The following is a 17,122-nucleotide window of genomic DNA, read 5'->3' as shown; positions in this document are numbered from 1 at the left end:
AATTTTTTGTATTTTTAATAGAGACGGGGTTTCACCGTGTTAGCCAGGATAGTCTCAATCTCCTGACCTCGTGATCCGCCCGCCTCGGCCTCCTAAAGTGCTGGGATTACAGGCATGAGCCACCGCTCCCGGCCTAGAAATGATATTCTTCTATCAGTGAGTTTTAAGATGTTAACTAAATGTCAAACTCTTGGTTTAGCTCCATCATCTAAATCACATAAGTTTAAGGAAGAAGGGAAAAGACAGTGTCATAGTATGGGAGGGGCAGGCTCTTGGATTTTGTTTAAACAGTCAACTTTTTAATTCGTGAACAAAACGAGTTAGATGCAAACGTAAATTTACTAATGTAATGTGACATTAGAAAATCGCTTAACAGCTATTAACAAAGTACCATAGACATTAGCTAAACTATTTACCATTTCATTTCATTTCATGCTTTGACTTCTAAAATCTAAATCAAATTTTATGAAACATTTTGAGTAAACCTCCTCAACTCGTCTACGAAGGTTTGGTATACCAGGCAGCTTTTCAATGTAAATGATTTTGACATTTCCAGGAAAGATTTTTTTAATTTTTTAAACTACCAGTCTTTCTTCTCTTCAGTCTTATAATGAGGTAGAACAATGTATTCAAAAGTACAGATATGGCTGTGTATAATGCTGATAATTCAGAAAGAAATTACCCAATTCATTCTTTCCAGTGCTGGACAAAGTTTAACAGGAAATAAACAGGGTATCATAAACTGTAACAGTGGACTCTAGAACTATATGGCAGAAAATAATATGTTTCTGCCCCAAATGGGCTGTGTTCTCTATTAGGGTGAAAGTAGAAAATAGCTATTTTATAGCGGGAATTTGAATGCTAAATCTGTAACTTATGACACAAGTTCTCACTCATTGTCTTCTGCTCAAGCACAGCTTAGGCCTTGCAGATGAGGTTACATTACATGCAGAGGCTGCCTACTGTAGATGGTGAAGCCACCATCACCAAGCCGTGTGTGCACAGCTGACTCTGACCTGCTGAAATCGGTCACATCAGCCACTTCTCCCATTACAGTGGATACAAGAGCTTTGCCATGATCTGTTCTGCTGCTATGAACTGTCGTGGGCTCCCTGTTACGGGCTGTTTATGGCTTAATTCTATGAGTGCTTTGGCTCTGAGGTTCTGTTAATGATTATGGTTCTATTCCTTTCTCATGAGTAAATGTGACCCAGCCCTTTGGAGACATGTAATGGAGCTGAAAAGATGCTGAAGATAGCATTTTCACCACTTTCCCCAATCCACGGAAATCAAAATAAAGCATTAAACATTTACTAGCTGAAGGGTAGATTCTACCCCCACCAAGGTATTGAGGGAATCAACAGCTGCAGCACCAACAACACGGCTACTGTTCAAAGAGCTTTCTCTGTGCTACACATCGTGTTGGTGTTTTATATACATAACTTCCTTTAGTGCTCATAACCACACTGTTAGTTCAGCCTCATCAGCTCCAACAAACAAATTAAGAATTGCCAAAGTCACACAATTAATTGAGGGCAGAACCTGGATTTTTATTTAGATCTGTATGAAATCATGAGAATGTATAGCTTATACACAGTGCTATGGAGCCCCTGGAAATCGCACGTCAAGACACTCCATTTCAAAGAGCTAACCATTACTTCACGTTCCCATAGGAGGTCTACATTTGCACTAGGACTTCTAGATATAAAGATTACAAGAGTAAAAGGGGGCCAGGCGTGGTAGCTCATGCCTGTAATCCCAGGACTTTGGGAGGCCGAGGCGGGCGGATCATCTGAGGTTGGGAGTTCAAGACCAGCCTGACCAACATGGAGAAACTCCGTCTCTACTAAAAATACAAAATTAGCTGGGTGTGGTGGTGCATGCCTGTAATTCCAGCTATTTGGGAGGCTGAGGCAGGAGGATCACTTGAACACGGGAGGCAGAGGCTGTGGTGAGCCAAGATTGCGCCATTACACTCCAGCCTGGGCAGTAACAGCAGCAAAACTCCTTCTCAAAAAAAAAAAAAAAAAGTAAAAGGGAAAAGATAGCTGTAGCTGTAGCTCAAAAAAATATATACACCATACACAGTGGATGTTTCTTGCTATGCCTAGCAGTCAGGGTTCAACCAGATAAGAGGAACCTGCAGGGTATATGTATTTATGTACATGTGTATGGTAAAACATTAAGGAACTTATTACATCAACAGATTGATGACCAGAAATGAAACGATGCAGTTGTGGTCCCAGGACAGGCAGGGAGGGAATGCCATCAGCAATCTACACCCTGACAGGCACGTGCTAAGCCTGTTGTCCACGGGCAGCAGTCAGCAAGGAGAATATGGAAGGATGGAAGAGCAATTTCAGATGCAGCTGCTTTTCAGAGTTGCTAGATCAAGGAGCTTAAACTCTCTTTTAAAGACTCCAGCTGATTCTGTCAAGCCACTTGGATGATCTCACTTTGGATTAACCTTTGGTCAAGCCATGAGGGATTTTAATGGCACTGGCGGAGTCCCTTCACAGCAGCACCTAGGTTCATGTTTGATTGAATGCCTGGGAGAAGATGCCTGCAGGCTACACGATGGGCTGCTTCCTCCGGGTCTCACAAGGGAATATCCCTTGGAGCCTGCCTTAGCCAGAAACATACTAGGAAGGGAGTTCTGGGACTGTATTGTAGCTAAGCCAAGATGATACACCAAAAAGCCTGTGCATGATGTGCTTAGAGCTGTGTTCTGCACAACTCACGTGTGACCTACTGTTAACCTCAGAATAATCCATGAAGTAGGAGCTATACGCTCATTCGCTTTACAGGGGAGGAAACTGAGGGCTGGAATGATTAAACAGTTTGTCCAAACTTCCACCAACTGGAAATGATTAAGCCGGGAATAGAACAGAGCTGTGAACTCTGCTGGGCAGGGATTGGCTTCTCAGGACCTGTCTAAGTTTGACCATTGGTCTGTCTTCAATATCAGATTCCTTTCAAGGCTACACACAATACTTACCTGGTCTCTATTTTCAGACCACCACTTTGAAAAAAGATGTACAGCCTTCATATAAAGAAAATAAAGATTTCTGGGATTTACAAAGAGGGAAATAATCCAGATACACATGTTGGAGTTTAAATTACTTTTTTCTAACTCTTGGAACAGGATCAAAGAAAAAATGTTTTCCACCTATTTCCATCCATTACTAGTCATTTTCTGTTTGTTTCAAAAAAGCATTTCTTTTACCGGAGCATGCTTTTGTTTCTAGTAAACACTGTGTGTGGGAATAAGGGCTCTGCAGAAAGACATGCTTTACAGACTGAATTCCAAGGCCTGTTCTCTGCCTGCACTTCACTTTATAGCTCTGTATCTGTACTAATAGTTTTGTTCTGAGTGTAACTCGTGAGTGGAGAGCCAGGCAGCCCACTCATAATACGCACTGTCAGCCTCCTGTCAGAACACTACTACGTTTTATTTTTTATTAGCCACCAGCTTGACTTTTTCAAGTCCTGATGTATATTTTTTAAAATTCCGTAGATGGTCAAAGCCTGCAGCAACCATTTGGGAGTCCAAATGTGAGGTTTTAATTTTTTTTAATGAGGGGTTTAAGGTAGAGCATCCTTCAAGGAGGCTGTTAGTAGCAGGAATGATGAGAGATCATTTTCACCATGGAGGTTTTACCTGGCAGTTTCCTCAGCTGCTCCTATAGCCTGGGGTTGAACAAATGTCCTCAAGGCAAAAATGTCAGTGGCCTTGTCAGCATCTCCCAGCTATGTGTCCTGGTGACACGCAGCCTCCAGGCTGTTTGTTGATCCCAGGTGCTGAAGAAGCACAGATTCTGGGAAGCAAAGCTCTTTTCTAGGATGTATTCTAACTCCAGTGTTCTGCAATATGCTGCCTGCAGCTCCATTTATTGGTGACTGTACAGACCCTGCTGTGTGCGATTCAGAACAGTCCCTTGTAACCGCAGGAGAAGAGGCTAAATGGAAAAATGTCTGTATACCCCACCCCAAGCTGTCACTTCAACATTTTCCTAAGTGGCTCCTAATGGCTTCTCCCTCCAGCAAATCAGCCACATGGAGCTGAGCCAGGCCTACTGCTTTGTCTGCAGCTGTTTGGGGTAATGCGGAGGTCACCACAGAGAGGGGATGTGAGAGGCAGCCAAGCACCAACATGCATAGGTCAGACCTGGGAAGCAGAAAACAGCCCCAATTCTCCAGTTCCCTTGGCACAGAGAAATCCTGATGCCCCCTAGGCATCACCATTCGACCTAAGGACCTGCAGGTAGAGCTACAGTAGGAGACAAAGAATAGAACATTGGGGATGGCTATGTTGATTGGCAGATTTCATCATTTCACAATGCATGTATACATCAAAGCATCATGTTGTATGACAAAACGTATACATTTTAAAAATTTGTCAACTATACCTTAATAAAGCTAAAAATAAGGAAATGGAATCCACAGTGCTTGCCAATGGAGTGGCTATGAAGGGTGTAGTGAAGGAGAAATCGACGTTGACCTCCTGGCTCCTGCAATCTGATCTGTCTTTCCTGAGCCTCCCTCATCTCTTGCAGGGACTGCTCTTCCAAAATTCCAAGTTGGCCAGGCGCGGTGGTTCACGCCTGTAATCCCAGCACTTTGGGAGGCCGAGGTGGGTGGATCACAAGGTCAGGAGTTCAAGACCAGCTTGGCCAACATGGTGAAACCCGTCTCTACTAAAAATACAAAAATTAGGCAGGCGTGGTGGCGGGTGCCTGTAATCCCAGCTACTCCTACTGGGGAGGCTGAGGCAGATAATTGCTTGAACCCGGAAGGCGGAGGTTACAGTAAACTGAGATCGCACCACTGCACTACAGCCTGGGCAACAGAGCGAGACTTTGTCTCAAAAAAAAAAAAAAAAAAAAAAAAAAGCAAAAAAACAATAAAAACTCCAAGCTGGCCCTGTCTTCTGTCATTTCTCTCTCTATAATTCAGTTCCCATAGAGAAGCCAGGGCTATTGCTTACAATGTACACCCAATCCTGTCATGGACTTGCTGAAAATCCTGCAATGGCACATCCGCTGCAGCCCCGCCCCCTCGGCCCCTCACATTTCACACACGCTCCGCTCCCTCCACCCAGCCGCGCGGCTTCCTTGGCTCCACAGGCCGTCCCCAGAGCAGCATGGGGCTTAGCTGTGGGAGCCTCCAGCCAAGAGGAGACCACCGTTTTTGGCAGCCAGGGGACCAAGGAGAGAAGGGTTCTGTGCTTGCTGCCCACCAATATTCATGCCAGGTGACAAGGTGCCCAGGGAGTGTCCAGGAGAAAATCAGGGAGGAAGTGAAGAAAAGAGTGGCCAGAACCTGAAGCAGCATTGTTTGAGGGTGGGGAAGAAACCGGAAAAAAATTAAACTCAACCTTGTGTCCGCTCCTGGAAGTAGGTGGGAAGGGAGGTCAGGCCAGCTTCTACCTGAGAAGGCTGCAGGGAGGTGGGTCCTCAGAGGAGAGTTGGGACCCGTGAAGGCCAGGAGGTGAAGCCTGGGAGGGGTTGGGAGCATGGGGGAGTTTGTTAATGACAGGAGTTCAGAGGTCCTGGTGCAACAATCTGGGAGTCACTGGAGAGCAAGTGCATTGCTGTGTGTGAAGAGGGAGGGCCTGTCACCTCCGATTCTACCTCAGGCAGGAAAGGAAGTTACAGAGACCCCATGAGAGCCATTTCTCCCCAGAGCAAGGACAGCGCCACGGGCATCTGCTCCACTCTGAGGGTCGGAGTCCACTCGATGTCACGGTGTCTGTGAGCTATACCTGAGGGTTGTGACAATGTGGCTTCAGCAGCATCCATGCAGACCACTGGGAGACATGTCACCCTGAGCACCAGGATTCTTATCTCCACTGTTCCAGGGAACTGTGTTAGGTGACATTTTTGGTTTGGTGAGCCTTGCAGTTCTTCTGTTTCAATGAGTTTAATAAAAAATCAGTCGCCAACTCTCAAAAGAAAGTAGATATTGGTGTAGCAGGAAGTATGTTTTCTGAAATGTGTCAGCCATGTTTTCATGTCCTGTGAATATTATTTTCCTGAGGTGGGTTCCCACCAATGGAACCACGGCCTTCGTTTAGGAAAAGCCGGATACCAATGAGAATAACAGAGCCATTCCCCAAGCTTGAGAGATGGAGAATTTTGAGTGTCTAGCAGGACAGTGAATTAAAAATCAGCCAGGATTTGAAGTAAAAAGGAATTCTACATGTCCAAACACGGCCTTCACATACCAAAAACAAAGCTTTCACATTGGAGCAATATGAGCTAGATATGCAGTGGGTAGGGGAATTCAGGATTTGATGTGAATGAGGAAGAGGAAAGTTGATGATACTCGGCATGGAGCACATAGCAGATACATGTGTCCTGGACATCCCTCTCTGGGGCAGAACCCTGGATCCAAGAAGTAACAGAAACATCAAGGGAGGCTTGAAGGAATCGGGAGCTTCAGGATCAAGGCCATGTTTCTGCCTGCATGGCCTGGGCAGGCTTGGTGTTTCTCATTGGGTACCTTCACCCAATGCCTCCACTTTCTGCCTATCCAGGAACTGTAGTAATGTTGGAGGAGCAATGTCCCTAGAGAGACTGACAACTGGGTTGGCTCCCTGCACATGGTGTCCCAGGCACCCAGAGGTTTCTGTGTACCATCTGAGGGATGTGCTAGTTACCAACGTTGCATAACTGCCTCCAAACTTAATGAGCTAAAAAGACAGCTGAACTTCTTTTTCTCATAAATCTGCAATCCGGAAAGAGCTTGGTGGGGACCGCTCATCTCTGCTGTGGTGGCTGGGCTGTTCTGGAAACTCCCTTGCTCATTCGTGGGGAGCAGTGGGGTTGGGTCAGTGGGTACCTTGAGTGCCCCTCCTGTCTCCATGTGGTCTCTCCTGCCTGGTGGCTCCAGGGTGGCTGGACTTCTTACATGCCAGCTCAGGTCATTCAAGGCACATTTCCCGAGAGAGAACCAGGTGAAAGCTGTCTTACCTTGGTTGGCCTAGCCTCTGAGGTCACGTCGTGTCGTCCCCTGCACATTCTGTTGGATGAGGCACTTATAAGGTGCACCAGCCCAAGGGGAGGAACACAGACCTCATCTCTCAATGGAGGAGCACCACAGGCTCTTCATCAGCAAAGAGCTGTGGGCTGGGATATATATGGACGTGACCTTTTTGGGAAAATACAACCTGGCACAGAGTGGTGGGGTGGGATGTTGTGGCGTTGGCACAGGCAATGGACAAGACAGGTCTGGGGTTAAACTGACAAGTTATAGGCAGGGCAGAGCTGTGACAACTGGAGGCAAATGACCAGACCGTGAATTTCAGCAGAAGATGCAAACCACAAAAGCCAGTCCCTCAGGGGACATTGACCCAGTGACAGACCAGCGGAGCCTTCCTGGCTCTCCATAGGAGCCAGGCCCAAAGTGAACTCCCTCATCTTCCCAGAGACGATAAAGGGAATGCATGAAAATGCTTTGAAAAATGGAATTGTTACCTTAAGATGAGGCACCTTTACTTGAAAGACCTTGGCACGGGAGGAAGCTTGATGCGGCAAGTGTAGTTTCCTGCTTCCTGTGGCTATGAAGGAGCACATAGGTCCAAAGGCTAATAGTGACTGCCTATAACAAAGTACAGATCAGAAACAAAAAATAAAGGGCTACACTTTCCTGAGCACTTGGATGTGGGTGGGAATCACAATTTTTATATATGGCAGGAAGAACTGACATCTCTCTCCCACCCACAATTGAAAGATACAAAAAATCAAAATAGATTAGTGAAGACTGTCCCCCTAACTTTGGCCACAAAGAGAGGGTCTTTAGAGGCCACGTGGTTTCCAGGTGGCTGTCACATCCCAGATGGTCCCTCGGCAGGGGATGAGGACCTACTGCCTCAGCACAAATGGAAGCTCCACTGTTCCTCGAGGTCAGGACAGAGATGGAAAATAAAACACTGTTCCTTCTTCAACACATAAATAGTTTTGATCGTGCCTGTTAACAACAAAATTCATAAACCAATAAAAAATAATCAGATGTAAGAGTGTCATGGTTAGGGAGAGAACCAGCTGGAGAGACAAGAGTTAATTTCAAGAACATCTGAGGCACAGGACAGGATAGGAAGGTCCTAAGTAAGAATGTGAAGTTACTTAAGAGACTGGTTTAACTTCTGCAGGACACCGACCCCATAGCAACCTTAGGGACCCCTTCTCCACTAGCCTGTGAAAGGGTAATGACTCACTAGCCTCTGCATCCACCTCTGCCCTGACGGGCCTGTAAAGCAACTGTGCTTTCTGGCTGTTAATAGTTAGTCAAATACACTTATAGTTCAATTGTCTGTTCCTCAAAATCCCACCACTAAGTCAAAAGCTGTATGAAAAAATAGGTCCACTCATTTTAATGGGAAAAATTATGAGATAACCTAAACTATTTCATGTAGAGGAAACATACATTGATTGGCAATGGAAAGACATTCACAGACATAGTAGACTCCAGTTACAAGTACTAAACAGCAACATAGAGTCTGTTCAGTGCTGTAATTGAATGACAGTTGATTGTATTCTACACAGGAAAAAGGCATGATAGTGAGTGGGGCATGGTGGAGGAGGGCATGGGGAATTTTACCCTTTGGAAGGTAAATACTTCTTTTTGCACCATTTCTTCAATAATTTCCCATCTCCGTGCAGTTTATAGTTGTCTTACACCCTGACAGCATTTAAAACTAAAGTTAGAGCAAAGAAAAACATCTTCAGTGCCTGGAAACATGCAAAGAACACACTTTGTACACATACTGGAAATCGTAGCGGATCCTCCCCCTCTATCACTGTCTGGGCTCACCTAGGTAGAGCAAAACACCTTGTGTTCATCACATTCATCACACATGGCACAAACGCAACCATGTGATGCTCTCTGGCCAGAAAATGCTGGGTGGAATAAATTCGTAAGTGTGTCCTTGCCTGAAACTGTCGTGTTGAAATAGCACTTTTTATAGAGTATTTATGTAGTGTGTTTTTGTATGAAAATGCCATTATATTCCCCAAAAAGTAGTCTTCCAGAAAGTGGTATAATTTTTCAAGAGCTGCTATGCTAGAATGTGATTATGTAAGCTGGTCTTTATTTAAAGGCTTTCGTGTGCCCTTACAGCAGAGACATTCCCTAGGGGTGTTCAGTGAGAGTCAAGCAGGCCTAATGGAAAATCATGGAATACTAAACAGCCACAAAAAAGAATGAGATCATGTCCTTTGCAGGGACGTGGATGAAGCTGGAATCCATTATCCTCAGCAAACTAACGCACGAACAGAAAACCAAACACCTCATCTTCTCACTCATAAATGGGAGTTGAACAATGAGAACACATGGACATAGAGAGGGAACATCACACACCGGCACATGTCGGCAGGTGGGGAGCAAAGGGAGGGAGAGCATTAGGACAAATTCCTAATGCGCTGGGGGCCTAAATCCTATCTGACAGGTTGATAGGCGCAGCAAACCACGGTGGCACATGTGTAACTATGTAACAAACCTGCACAATCTGCACATGTATCCTGGAACTTAAAGTAAAATAAAATATAAAATAAGAAAGAAAGAAAGAAAAATGCCCCCATGGCAGGGGTCCCAGTTTTGCTCAAGAGGAGGATGGCCATCTGACTGAGGAACATCCAGAAGGGGTCCTGACTAAGGCTCAGATTTTGAAGGGTCGTGCAGTGGTGGAGGCAAAAAAAAAAAAAATGTGCCTTTGCTAGAACTTCAAACTTTCTTCTTTATGCCCATAGGAGGTGGTGTCTCTGGAGCCGCCGAGCAGCAGCCTCATTGCTCAGAAGATGAAGATGCTGACGAAGACCCAGACAGGAAAAAAGGAAGAAAAAGCATCCTGATTGTTCCATTAGCAAAGCCACAGTCCCGGAGAGCAAGGGGAGGGGCACAGCAGGCAGCCGCACCCATGGGATGCATCTGCAGCTTGTGAGCAATGCATGAAAGATGAATCACACAGCAGCAATGCCTTCAGCTTCCGTGTGCTATGGCTCACTCAGCACCAGCTCTGCAGGCTGCCTAAGCCAGAAGTCAGTCTCTGCCTTTAGACTTGCTCACTTCTTTTAGGAACGGAGATATCCTCTGATCCCTTGTCCTACAACCTCGATTAATATCTTTCCAACAGCCATCTGCCAAACTCAAGAAGACCCTGGAACAACCTAATTGGAAAAGTTTCCATCTTATCCCTTGGAAAACTATAGAAAAGTAGTGTCACACAAATGTTTAATTTCTGATTTCTACAATTTCAGATACCAGAGTTTATCTGTTACCATGACAACTAACAGCTTTATAAATGTTTTCTAGCCTCTGCTATTTTCTGGAACTTATCTACATTTCAGTATTTGCTTAATAATTTTGAGCTGACACTAGCAACATAATTGTGTCTGGATTGTGTATGTGTATGTCTTGTGTGTGTTGGCAGGGGGTGGGTATAACCTATGTCAGTGTTTTTCAATGTGAGCAAATTTTAATAAACTTTTATATTTAATGTGAACATTAACTGTCACATTCCCTCTGCCTGGATTCCAGTTAATTCATTGCCTGCCCGTTTATTATTCCCTCCAAGCTGAGAAATCATCACTAATGTGATTGTTCACTCCAGGCATTTTCAGGCCATGGACACTTGTGGGGAGAGGCATTGTCAAAACGACTACCAAACTGAGTTTATCAACACTAGCTGGGTTAATGACAACTTGTGGGAGACAGACAGTACAAGCAGCGCTTTAGGTGAAATTTACAGCCTTAAGTATTTACAGTAAGCAGTAGTAAAGCTAAAAATTGATGGGCAAAATGACTAAACTAATTAGTAATGAAAAGCAAAATAAACTCAAAGCAAAAAGGAGGAGGTAAAATTGTGAAAATAAAAAGCTATAATAGAAAATCAACAATCAACTTTCAAAAAAGTAATTGTCTGTTCTGACTTGCCCAGGATAGCCCTAGTTTCCCTGCCATCTGGCGTCATGTTCCAATTAGCTTACCTTGTGGATTATTTGTTATTGAAATATTATTAATAGTTGAATTCTGCTTATCCAGGATGAATTTGATAAACCTCTCTTTTGTATTTCTAGCTTGTTTCGTGGTCTCATCTCGCAGTGTGTGCAATTAAGCAGAAATCTCATTGTAACATGTGTTTTTAAGTCTGAGAGACGACCTGTGATAAACTGCCTCTCTTTTTACAATCTTTTCCAGAGAGGACATGATTAGCACCTCCCCTAGAGGAACAGCATGCCTGCAGGGTTAGCTGATCAATCGTGTGTGCCGAGACACAAACAGTTAGGGACAGATAACTTCTCCTGATGGTGGGGACATGCTTGGCCCTGCCACTTTTGCCACACATTTGGTGTACCAGCTAGTTGGTACACCAGGCTGCTTCCTAGTGAGGACAATCATTAAACATGGGAAATTAAGGGTCAGGTGTATGTGAAATATACATGGGAAATAGAAGTAAACCAATTCTTTTATAGAGTGTAAATAGCCTGAACATGCTTGTTATGGCATTCTTCTCATCTTATGTAGGGTAAATCTATAATTATTTATTATATTGTTTGGCAACACTATCTCCTTTTGCAATTAAGTACTTTGTTTTGCAACAATGAGCTAACAACTCCAAACGTTTATGTTCAATTAAAAAATATATACAGAAATTCTATTCCTCAAGAAGATTGATGATGGATAGTTAGTTACCTTGCACAGAATATTCAGTGGCACAGACCTCCCGCCGTGGGGTTCATGGTGAACACATGAAAATGAGAAGTGACAACATGGGAATCAGAAGACATAAATAATTCAAAGGTTAAGAGTTATTGTAAGAAGACCATACCTGAAAGTGAAAATTGAACACATCTTCAGAAATGTGTTAACATAGCATGCTATGAAGGAAGGCTTTTCATTTAGATCAAATAGCTGTTTTCACTTTCATGTTCAAATTTTCATAGCATCTATAAAAAGTGAAGCTATAGCTGTAAATGTTTTGCCTCCTTTTTTTTTTTTTTTTTTTTTTTTTTGTTATTGTTGTTGAGATGGAGTTTCGCTCTTGTTGCCCAAGCTGGAGTGCAATGGCACGATCTTGGCTCACTGCAACCTCTGCCTCCTGAGTTAAAGCAATTCTCCTGCCTCAGCCTTCCGAGTAGCTGGGATTACAGGTGCCCGCCATCACATCCGGCTAATTTTTTGTATTTTTAGAAGAAACAGGATTTCACCGTGTTAGCCAGGCTGGTCTCGACCTCCTGACCTCAGGTGATCCACCCACCTCGGCCTCCCAAAGTGCTGGGATTGCAGGTGTGAGCCACCACATCTGGCTGTGTTTTGTCTTCTGTTAGCAGAAGAACATGGTCAACAATTGAATAATGCCAGATTTCTATCGATGAATTGGATTCCTCAAATAGATCATGTATTTCATTCCAATACTGGCTTTATTGTTTCATCTAATCTATGGAATCAAAGTAGGTCTTTGGAATTTCATTTTGTTAAAGGTGAAACATCTGATATTATGTGAATGCTATCAGGATTTTAGTTAAAAAGTTCAATCATGAATACGAAAGTATTTGTATCCGTGATAATAATAGAATTTTGTTGGTGCCAACGTTCGTGGAAAAAACAATTTGTTGAGTTAAATCTTACAGCAGAAATATACTAGAAAGTGATTGTGGACACAAAATTCATAATTTGTTCCAAATAAATTTCAGTGTTCTGCCAACTGGAATAAAAATATAGTTCACAAAATTTACAAATATTTTATATATCCACAGCTCAGAAGCTGAACAACAAAATGTGTGAAGAAGCTGACAATTAAATTAAAAATAGCATAATGGAATGTGCTTTATTCCTCTTTTTCACTCAACACAAATCTTATTTTAAATCACTGAACCTTTGAAGTAACAATTTTATGAAGTAATCCAAGTAATCAACAATGATATTTAATTTTTATAAATGAGTCTTTCAAGTTTAGTTCTGTATTTTATTCCAAATGAGTGAAAAATCTTAACACACAAGAACATCTACAAAAAATACTCAAAGAAAATGGTTTGACTGACAATTTTGCAGCATCTAAATTTGGCAAAATATACCCAAAAATGTATAGAGACAGTTTGATAAGTTTATCTTGTAAGATATTTGTCAATGAAATATATTCTGAGGGAAAGCACATTGTAGTACCATACCTAGAAAAATACTTGAACTAAAATATTTACATTTTAATTTAAAAATTGGAACTGCGAATAACTCCTGCCAAACTCTGCTGACACTTTAATTTCAGCCTGTGAGACACTGAACAGGGAACCCAGTCATGCTCTGCCGGATTCTGACCCACAGAAACTCAGATGAGACATTTATGATGTTCTAAGCTGCTGAGTTTGTAGTAATTTGTCATGCAGCAAATTAAACAATAAAATAACACGATAAAAAAAACCCTAGAAATAAATACTTAACAAAATACTCCGAAAGACAAAAATGGCATTTCATAAGGAAAAAGACATACATGGCCAATAAATATATGAAAGATATATTTAAATTTAACCTCTAACAAGCAGTGCAAGTGAAGCTATGATGAAATAATATTTTATATCTATTAAATTGCCATTACTTGAGAAAACCATCAATACCAAGATTTGCAGATGATATAAATCAAGAATCTTGTATATATTGTTCATAGAAATGTAAATTAATATAACTACTTGGGTAAATTATGTAGCATTATGTAGTAAAGTGGAATATTTGCGTATCTTATTATGACTAGGAAATTCTCTTCCTGGGAACATTCCCAAGAACTTTGCAAGTGTGCATTAGGAATGACGTATAAGTTCAAAACAGCACGGTTTTTGTTAGACATACCTTGGAAATAACCAAAACCCCTGTTAGTGGAAGAATGTATAAATTAACTGTGGCACAGTCACACATGAAATATTATGTAGTAGTCAACATGGCAGCCACACAGAGCCATAGAGTTCAATCTTAGCAATATACAGTAATAAAATGTAGCACATTTCTGAAGGTTAAATATAGCAGGATGTCATTTTGATAAAGTTAAGAAATTAATTATCATAAGAACTTTTAAAAAGGTTTCTAGAAACTTTCATGCTAAAATAGTATTTTGCAAAAGCATCAGAATGATAAACACAAATTTCAGGAGAGTCATTACCTCAGATGGCAAACAGCAGGAGTTTGGGTAGGGAAGGAACACAGGGGAAGACGTTAAAGTGGCAATTGGATGTAAAATTAATGTGGCCTCTGGGAAATTTCTAGTAAATAGAATATTCAATTTAGCTTTCTTTTTTTCTATCTAATTTGCTTATAGTTCATAATAGCAATATAAAAACTTTCAAGGAAATAAAAAACCAGTTATCCCACTATGAAACAAAATACTTAATTTTCTTAATTTTTCCATGTTTTTTTCATTATGTCCGTCATATGTCAATAGATATTTTTTAACAGTTTAATTATGTCAGTAATTTATTGCACATTTTCTCTCTCTTTATAATTGGCTTTTGGATATAAACTGAGCGCCACAACCTCTGATGATTTATAGTCACAGATGCTCTAGAGGATTAATGCAGTATATCATGCTGTGCGTCAAATTTCTTGGAAGAAATCTACGAGGAAATCACTGAGTATTATTAGGGGATCAATCATGTGACTGAGTCTAGCTTTTAGCACACTGTTACTGCATCAGTCAATTGAAGAAATAAAACTAGTACCTCACATCTGTGTTTGCAAAGATGTTGGATTTGTCTGTACTGTGCGTAGCTCAAAATACTGGGGAAAACCTGCCTTCAGTCGTCTGCAGCGACCCAGCTGTGTGCACTGAGACTGACCACATGTCTTCCAGGGCAAGGGCTTCCTTATGGATGAAATGAGAAACTGGATTTGATGAGCTCTAATCTTCTTCTAACATCTCAGGTTTTGTAAACCTCAGAATGAAAAAGAACACTTCCAAGCAAGTTAATGCAAATACTGTCACTTGGAGACGTTTTTACTTTTGTGGTTAAATTTTTGTTGCTAGAAAAACAACACACAATTCTAACTCACTGCATTTTGGAGGCACAGAATATTAAACATTGATAGTAAATGGAAGCCTCTGTTACTCGCTCTTAAAAATGAAAGAAGGAAAGGCTAAGACAACATTGGCAAACTGGACAGTTACAGAAGGAGTGTTTAGCCACTAAGACAAAAATATGAGGACATTATGTGAATAAGGGAACTGGGTGTGCTCCTCAAAAAGAACTGGTGGTTGGGGCAGAGACATACAGAGTCTGCCTTCAAACATTTGAAATATTGTCCATAACTAAACAGGATTAAACCTTCCCTATGCAATTACAGAGACAGAATTAACACAAATAAATAGAATCAGACAGGCTAATAATAAATATCCAAATAAAAAAATAATCTTTTAAATATTAAACTTATTCAAAAACGAATTAGTTTCTCATGAAGCAATGTAATTAGTTGCATAATTATCAGAATTTATGGAGAAATATTCCAAAATTGGCTTAGAAGTTTAATAAAATGACCCTGAATTCCTTCCAATGTTAAGATTCTTTATATTATTTTGACATTAGAACATTATAAAACAGTACATAATCTTTTAACCCTCTTTATTTTTGCATATGAAACTTAAACACATCTTTTATGTAATCTCACAGACAACATGTATGTCTTTTTCCTTATGAAATGCCATTTTTGTCTTTGGGAGTATTTTGTTAAGTATTTATTTCTAGGGTTTTTTTTTATCGTGTTATTTTATTGCTTAATTTGCTGCATGACAAATTACTACAAACTCAGCAGCTTAGAACATCACAAATGTCCATCTGAGTTTCTGTGGGTCAGAATCCGGCAGAGCATGACTGGGTTCCCTGTTCAGTGTCTCACAGGCTGAAATTAAAGTGTCAGCAGAGTTTGGCAGCAGTTATTCGCAGTTCCAATTTTTAAATTAAAATGTAAATATTTTAGTTCAAGTATTTTTCTATTTAGTTCAAGTATTTTATATTTTGTGTTTGAATTTTGAATGCCCACCTATTTTCTGGAAAAAAAAATCTGAAAGGGTAAACATTTCCCTTCAATGTGACACTGAAGCAGAATTAGTATGTTAAACAAACGTGTGTTCCTTTGGTTCGAGATATTTTCTAATTTTCCTTGTGACCTCTTCCTTAACCCATTATTTAACAGTGTGTTACTTTCCACATATTAGTGTTTTTTTCAGCTCTCCTTTTGCTATTGATTTCTAGTTTTATTCCCTTATGGTCAGAAAAGATACTTAGTATGATTTTAATCTTTGTAAATTTTTCAAGACTTGTTTTATGAACTAAGACGTGGATAATCTTGTAGACTTATTTGGAAACTATAAAAAACTCTTACAACTTAATAATATGAGGACATATAACCCAATTAAAATGGGGCAAATAATAGATATTTCTTTAAAGAAAATATACAATGGGCCAATAAACCCATGAAAGATGCTCAACATCATTAGTCGTCAGACAAAAGCAAATCAGAAACACAGTTCTATACCACCTCACTCCTACTAGGCTATTAAAAAACAAAACAAAACAAACAAAAAACAAAAAAAAAAAAACCAGAAAATTAAAAGTGTTGAGAGGAAGTGAAGAAATTGGAATCCTCATACATTGGTGGTGGGAATATAAAACCGTGCAGCCACTTTGGAACACAGTTTGGCATTTCCTCAAAAAGTTAAATGACCTAGAAATTCTACTTTTAGGTTTACACCCAAATACAAAAAAATGTGAAGATATATGCCCCCACAAACACTTTTGCATGAATGTTCCTAGCAACATTACTCTTATTATTCAAAAATTAGAAGAAACCCAAATTTCCATCAATGAATGAATTGGTAAAAGGTGACATATTTATATAATTAAATATTATTCAATAATAAAAAGGAATGACATGCTGATACATGCTACAATATGGATGAACCTTGAAAACATAATGCTAAGTAAAAGGATGCAAGCCAAAAAAAAAAAAAAAAAAAAAAAACAAGCTACATATGGTATGATTCAATATATAAAAAATATCCAGAATAGACAAATCTATTAATGGCCGCTTAGCACCAAGGAGAGGGGTTGAGGAAAATGAGGAGTAACTGCTAAATGGCCAAGTTTCT

At 40.7% G+C, this 17,122-nt stretch overlaps 1 long non-coding RNA gene across 1 annotated transcript in view, besides 2 other annotated features; it reads left to right on the top strand.

The window, feature by feature from the left end:
- LINC01508 (long intergenic non-protein coding RNA 1508) overlaps positions 1 to 10,507 on the top strand; it is a 132,594-nt gene extending 122,087 nt beyond the window's left edge. Inside the window, exon 3 of the long non-coding RNA NR_109795.1 lies at positions 9,750 to 10,507. This is a non-coding gene — a long non-coding RNA (long intergenic non-protein coding RNA 1508). The remainder of the gene's footprint in view (positions 1 to 9,749) is intronic.
- Positions 2,122 to 2,416: a silencer, noted in NCBI's record as "tiled region #9186; HepG2 Repressive non-DNase unmatched - State 24:Quies, and K562 Repressive non-DNase unmatched - State 24:Quies". NCBI's record gives its function as "represses a minimal TATA promoter and a strong SV40 promoter by Sharpr-MPRA in HepG2 and K562 cells {active_cell/tissue: HepG2 | K562}" and the evidence as "EXISTENCE:reporter gene assay evidence [ECO:0000049][PMID:27701403]".
- Positions 4,639 to 5,138: an enhancer, noted in NCBI's record as "H3K4me1 hESC enhancer chr9:93068547-93069046 (GRCh37/hg19 assembly coordinates)". NCBI's record gives its function as "activates a minimal SCP1, AML or CMV promoter by ChIP-STARR-seq in naive H9 embryonic stem cells {active_cell/tissue: H9 hESC(naive)}" and the evidence as "EXISTENCE:reporter gene assay evidence [ECO:0000049][PMID:30033119]".
- Positions 10,508 to 17,122: the final 6,615 nt, after the last annotated feature.

This window comes from Homo sapiens, chromosome 9, assembly GCF_000001405.40.
Source record: "Homo sapiens chromosome 9, GRCh38.p14 Primary Assembly".
NCBI classification, from domain to species: Eukaryota; Metazoa; Chordata; class Mammalia; order Primates; family Hominidae; genus Homo; species Homo sapiens.
The sequence above is the reverse complement of the archived record's forward strand: the minus strand, read 5'-3'. Positions and strand labels throughout refer to the sequence as shown.